This window comes from Homo sapiens, chromosome 18 (assembly GCF_000001405.40).
Source record: "Homo sapiens chromosome 18, GRCh38.p14 Primary Assembly".
Taxonomy (NCBI): Eukaryota; Metazoa; Chordata; class Mammalia; order Primates; family Hominidae; genus Homo; species Homo sapiens.
This window is the reverse complement of record NC_000018.10, coordinates 23987736-23993856: the sequence shown is the minus strand read 5'-3', so window position 1 is coordinate 23993856 and position 6121 is coordinate 23987736. Positions and strand designations below refer to the sequence as shown.

At 35.3% G+C, this 6121-nt stretch overlaps 1 protein-coding gene across 1 annotated transcript in view; it reads right to left on the bottom strand.

The window, feature by feature from the left end:
* Positions 1 to 970, bottom strand: part of TTC39C (tetratricopeptide repeat domain 39C) — a 142714-nt gene extending 141744 nt beyond the window's left edge. The window contains exon 1 of the mRNA NM_153211.4: positions 819 to 970. The gene's annotated coding sequence lies outside the window, so the exon portion shown is untranslated. The remainder of the gene's footprint in view (positions 1 to 818) is intronic.
* Positions 971 to 6121: the final 5151 nt, after the last annotated feature.

Below are 6121 nucleotides of genomic sequence, written 5' to 3'. Positions count from 1 at the left end.
CTAATACCAAAACATCTAATGTCAAACTATGGTCCATTTCTATTATATTTCCCAAGACAATTAAATTAGTATATAATTTTTTTCATAGATTTTCAGTTTATAATATGTAGTGAAATTAAATAATTATCTAGAATAGCATTGCTAATTGTGACATTACTTAAATATTTATGAAAAATAAACTTTGATCTGGCATTTCACTCACAGCTGGTCAAGGCTAGTAAAAGATGAGATTCTAAATTTCACAGCTGGAGGCCTACATTTCGATCTTTATACAAGATTTAATGAAATTCACAGTGACATTTTTAGTTATTTTGATACATTCTCAACCAAGTAGGAGTACAAGATCTATAAGTGAGGGTCTAGTAAATTATTTGATATGAAAAGGGGTCCGTGTACTTCATAATAATTAGTCATAACAAGTGCTATGGCATTTATTGAGCATCTGTGTGTGGACATTTTGTTATTGTAGATATTTTCTATTAACCTGATATTAATGCATGTCTTTACACCCAACCCTCCAAGGGATACTATGCAAATGCTTTAACATCTGGCATTTGTTGAAAAATAGCAGAGATTTTAAAGAATGGCACTGAGAAAGTCTTGCCACGTTTTTATGGAAATCCATTCTGGAAGCATTTCTTTCCATTATATGTCTTGTCTATTTCATATTGAAAGCCCTTTTATCACAGCTTCAATTTGCGTTAGTATTTTACCATCAAAGATGAACTTAGCCAGTGCAATGACAACATGATAAAAACATAAAATGATACAATGATTCTTCTTGTTTATCACTTACCCTGTCTCATTAAGCCACTTACCACAAAAGAAGCTTGAGATTTCTTAGGAGCAAGATTTTAGAATTCTTAGGACTCAGCCTTTCTGAGCCAGTGGCAGGATAGTTGCTTCTAAAGAGGCTGTGTGTGTAGGTGCTGGAGGGGTTAGGTCTCCAGGAGGGACAAGATGGGCAGCTGGAAATAAATTCAGAATCCTGCCTCTGTTGTAGCAAAACTCTCCATTCTCTTTCTCACCTTTTCTCAGAACCTGCTTACATAACTGTGGTTAACCTATATGCGTAAGCATGATTAAAAAGATTGACACAGCCTGGCAGTCTTTTCTGTGCTATGCACCCAGGAGCACAGCCCTTGGGCCTGAAGCATTGGCAGCGGGCTCTGGCTCTGTGTGTGGCGCAGGTCAGTCCGGCCTGCCTGCCAATTACTCAGTAGTTATGTCCAGGGAGAAGCAAGCCATGCTTGTTAGGCAGATTGCTGCACTCTGAGCACAAAAATGTCAAGGGCACATAATTACTCCTAATGCAAAAACATAGAAAAGCTGCAATTAAAAGGCAGTGGAGCAGTGCCTTTCTTATTTCTGGAGAGACTGGAAATTACAGTAAGGCAGCACACTGGGCTTTCTCTGCCTCCTAGTATACACAAATATTTTCAATTAATTACAACGTGTAATGGTATATTTATTTTTGGATCTCCTGTCTCCCCATAGGCTTCATGTGAGCAAAGACCACATGTCTGGCTTGTTCACCACTGCACACTCCCAGGACATGGTAGGAATTCAGTGACTATTTAATGAATGGATGACCACGGTATTTCAGTTTTAGGAAAGAATTTCCAAATACATTTTTCCCCATTCATTGAGTCCTTATTTAACCAAGTTAACTAGACAATACGTCCTCTACATTGTTCATGGGGAATTACTGAGCCAGACCTGGGGGAAATGACATAATATCCTATTAATTTTTTTTAAAAAATTATTTTTAATGTTCGTGGGTATATAATAGGTATACATATTTATGGGTTACATGACATATTTTGATATAGGCATGCAATGCCTAATAATCACATCAGGGTAAATGGGGTATCCATCCCCTCAAGCATTTATCCTTTGTGTTACAAACAATCCATTTATATTATTTTAGTTACTTTAAAATGTACAATTACATTATTTTTTGCTATAGTCACCCTGTTGCGCTAGCCAATACTAAGTCTTATTCATCCTATTTTTTTGAACCGATTAACCATCCCCATTTCCACCTACTCCACCACTACCCTTTCCAGCCTCTGGTAACCATCCTTTTACTATCTCAATGAGTTCAATTATTTTAATTTTTAGCTCCCACAAATAAGTGAGAACATATGAAGTTTGTGTTTCTGTGCCTGGCTCATTTCACTTAACACAATGATCTCCAGTTCCATCCATGTTGCTGCAAATGACAGGATCTTATTCTTTCTTATGACTGAATAGTACTCCATTGTATATATGTACCACATTTTCTTTGTCCAGTCATCTATTGATGGACACTTAGGTTGCTTCCAAATCTTAGCTATTGTGAACTGTGCTGCAATTAGTTTTTTATGTAAGGTATCATGGCCATGAAAGCTTGAATATATAAAAAAAGTCATAGATAAGATCTTGTCTTGGAAGAGCTACACAAAGAAGATCTTGTTTTGGAAGATCTACGCATATTTCATTTTGTATAGACACATTCTGTATCCAAATGAGAAAGATTTCTTAGAAGGGAGATTCATTGCCTCCTATAATTTATTCAAATGCTTAACAGCCTTAAAGATGACTACCACACTGTTGCCACATAACAGATGTTAAATAAATATTGTTGTTGTTTTTGTGAATTGAACTTGGCAGTAAAAAATGAAAATTGCAGCTGCTAAATATTTGGTGTGAGTTACAGCAGCTCTCTTTAATCTCTGTTTTTAGTTGAGTTGTGTTTGCATGAGTTAAATTGTTTTCCTTCTGATGTCCAATTTACTTGCAGCTCTTCTACCAGAGGCAAGCATTTTCACCAGCCATTTTGAATTTGATGTGCTCAGCACTTTGAGGTAGCTGGCTCCTGGGCGTAAGTCAGATTCTGACTCACTGGCTGGATCACCATCCTCAGGACCCCTTGCAGGGTAGACCTTGCTCAGTTGTTCCTCGATTTTCTTCTGTGTATTTGAAAGAAATACATGCTCTTGTGATGTGCAATGCTTCATAGATGTCACCTTTTAAGTTTATTACAAATCACATTTGTATAGTTCGTTATTGAATTTTAGACCCATATAACTTCTAAGCATGAAGTATTATTACACACACACTAAGTACTTCTTATGAGTCAAGTGCTAGAACTATGGCTATCACAATGATTAAAGCATTTGTTTACCCCTTGGCTCACCACCATAAGTGAAGGAGATGTAGCTTTCTCTGCAAAGAATTATGCATGAGAAGGCATCTTGGCCAAAGCCAAGGGCTAAAGGTTAAGAGTATTATTCACAGATAATTTTAAACTTAAAATTGTAAAAGAACCCAACTCGATTGAGGTATAATCGACATGCAACATGTGGTACATACTAAAACTGTTCTATTTGATAAGTTTTGACATGTGTGTAATACTATAATCAAGATAGTGAACATATTCATCATCCCAAAAGGGTCCTGGTGCCCCTTTGTCATCTCTCCCTCCCATCCCTAATCTGCTTTCTGTCATTATAAGTTAGTTTGACTTTTCTAGAATTTCATCTAAATGAAAGTTTATAGTGTGTACTCTCTGAGTCCTTTATCTTGCTTCTATTACTCAGAATAATCATGTTGAGATTCATCCAAGTTGAAGTGTATGTATATTAATAGTTCGTTTCCTTTCATTGCTGAGTAGTCACTCTCCATTATACAGATACCCTATACAGTATATTCACTTATCTGTGGATGGAAATTTGGGTTCTTTCAGTTTTTCTTTTACAAATAAAGCTGCTATGAGCATTCATCCACATGTGTTTGAATGAATATATAGCTCCTTTCCTTTTGGCTAAACACCTAGAAGCAGGATGGCTGGATCATATGGTAGGTGTATGTTTAACTTTCAAAGACTCTGTCAATTGTCTTCCAAAATGTCTGTATCATTTTCCATTCCCTGCAGCAGTATATGAGACTTCCATTTCTTCCACATCCTCACCTACACTGACACGGTCAATCTTTTTCTTTTTGGTCACTCTAATAGGTATGTAGTGGTATCTCACTGTGGATTTAATTTGCATTTCCCTAATGGATAATGATGTCAAGCATATTTTCATGCACTTAATTTACTGTTAGTCTGTCTTCATTGATGATGTGTCTGTTCAAATCTTTTGCCCAGGTTTTTACTGAGTTGTTTTCTTATAATATAGTTTTGGAAGTTCTTTATATATTCTGAATTAATCATATCATTAGATATATGATTTTAAAAGATTTTCTCCCAGACTGTGCCTGTCTTTTCATTCTTTGAAAGAGCAGAAGTTTTTAATTTTGATGAAGTTTAACTCATCAATTTGTTTTTTTTTTGGATTATACTTTTGGGGTTGGGTCTATAAGATCTTTGTTTAACCCAAAGTCAAAGGTTTTTTCCTTATGTTTTCTCATAGAAACTGTATAATATTTAGTTTTACATTTAAGCCTATGGCCCATTTTGAGTTAATTTTTAAACATAGTACAAGACATGAAGTCCATTTTTTTGGCATATGAATATCTCATTGTTCCAGTACCGTTTGTTGAAGGGACTATCCTTTCTCCACTGCTTTGCCTTTGTGACTTTGTAAAAAATCAGTTGCCATCTATATGTGAGTCTATTTCTGGATGTTTTGTTCCATGGCTCTACATCTATCTTTATGACAATAATACCTATCTTGATTAGTTTAGCTTTATAGAAAGTCTTGAAATCAGGTAGCATTGGTCCTCCAACTTTGTTCTTCTTTTCTTTTATTATTTTTTTTAGAGACATGGTCTTGCTCTTTTGCCCAGGCTAGAGTGCAGTGGCATGATCATAGCTCACTGCAGCCTCCAACTCCCTGGCTCAAGCAGTCCTCCCACTTCAGCCTCCTGAGTAGCTAGGGCTACAGGTGCACACCATTATGCCTGGCTAAATGTTTTATTTTTGTAGAGATGGGGTCTTGCTATGTTGCCTAGGCTAGTCATTGTTTTTGTTTTCAAAGTTGCTTTCACTATTCTAAGTCCCTTGGATTTTAGAATTAGGTTGTTAATTTCTACAAAAACCAAGCCTTCTGCTATATTGATTGGCAGTGGGTTGACTCTATAGGTCTATTTGGGAAGAATGAACATCTTAATAATATCGATTCTTCTGAATCATGAACATGTTATATCTGTTTGTTTGTTTAGTTAGGTCTAATTTAATTCCTGTTGCCAATGTTTTATAGTTTTAGTGTAGAAGACTTTCACATCTTTTGTCAGATTTATCCCTATTTCATATATTTGATACTATTGTAAATAGCATTATTTTAAAAAAGTTATTTTCCAGTTGTTCATTGCTAGTATATAGAAATACAATTGGTTTTTGCATATTTATCTTGTGTCCTATGATCTTGCTAAAATAATTTGTACTAGTATTTTTAAAAAATAGATTCCATCACATTTTCTACATACATGACCATGTTGTCTGCAAATGGAGAGGTTGACTTTATGAGCAATATTGACTTGTAGTTTTCTTGTAGTTTCTTTGTTAGGTTTTAGTATCAAGGTAGTGCTTGCCTTATCAAATGATCTTTTAGTACTTTTAGAGATGTGGATACATTGTCTCCTTACTTGTATTGTTTCCAAAAAAAAAGAAATCTGCTCTCATCCTTATCTTTGTTCCTCTGTATCTAATGTGTGGGTTTTTTTTTTTATGTGGTTGTTTTTAAGATTTTTCTCTTTATCACCGTTTCTGAGCAATTTAGTCATGATGTGTCTTGATGTTGCTTTGTTTATATTTCTTGTATTTGGAATTCAAAATTGGATTTGTGGGTTAATAATTTTCATAAAATTTGGAAATTTTCTGGCCATTTCTTCAAATATATATATATAGTTATATATATTTTGTTTGTTTGTTTTTAAGACAGAGTCTCACACTGTCGCCCAGGCTGGAGTGCAATGGCACAATCTCGGCTCACTACAACCTCTGCCTCCCAGGTTCAAGCGATTCTCCTGCCTCAGCCTCCCATCTTCAAATATTTTTGTACCCTTATCTTATTTTTTCAGGAACTCCAGTTTCACAAATATTAGCCCAAGTGAAATTGGCCCACAGATCACTGATCCTCTGTTCATTAAAAAAAAAATAAAAGTCTCTGTGATGGTTGATTTTGGGTATCAA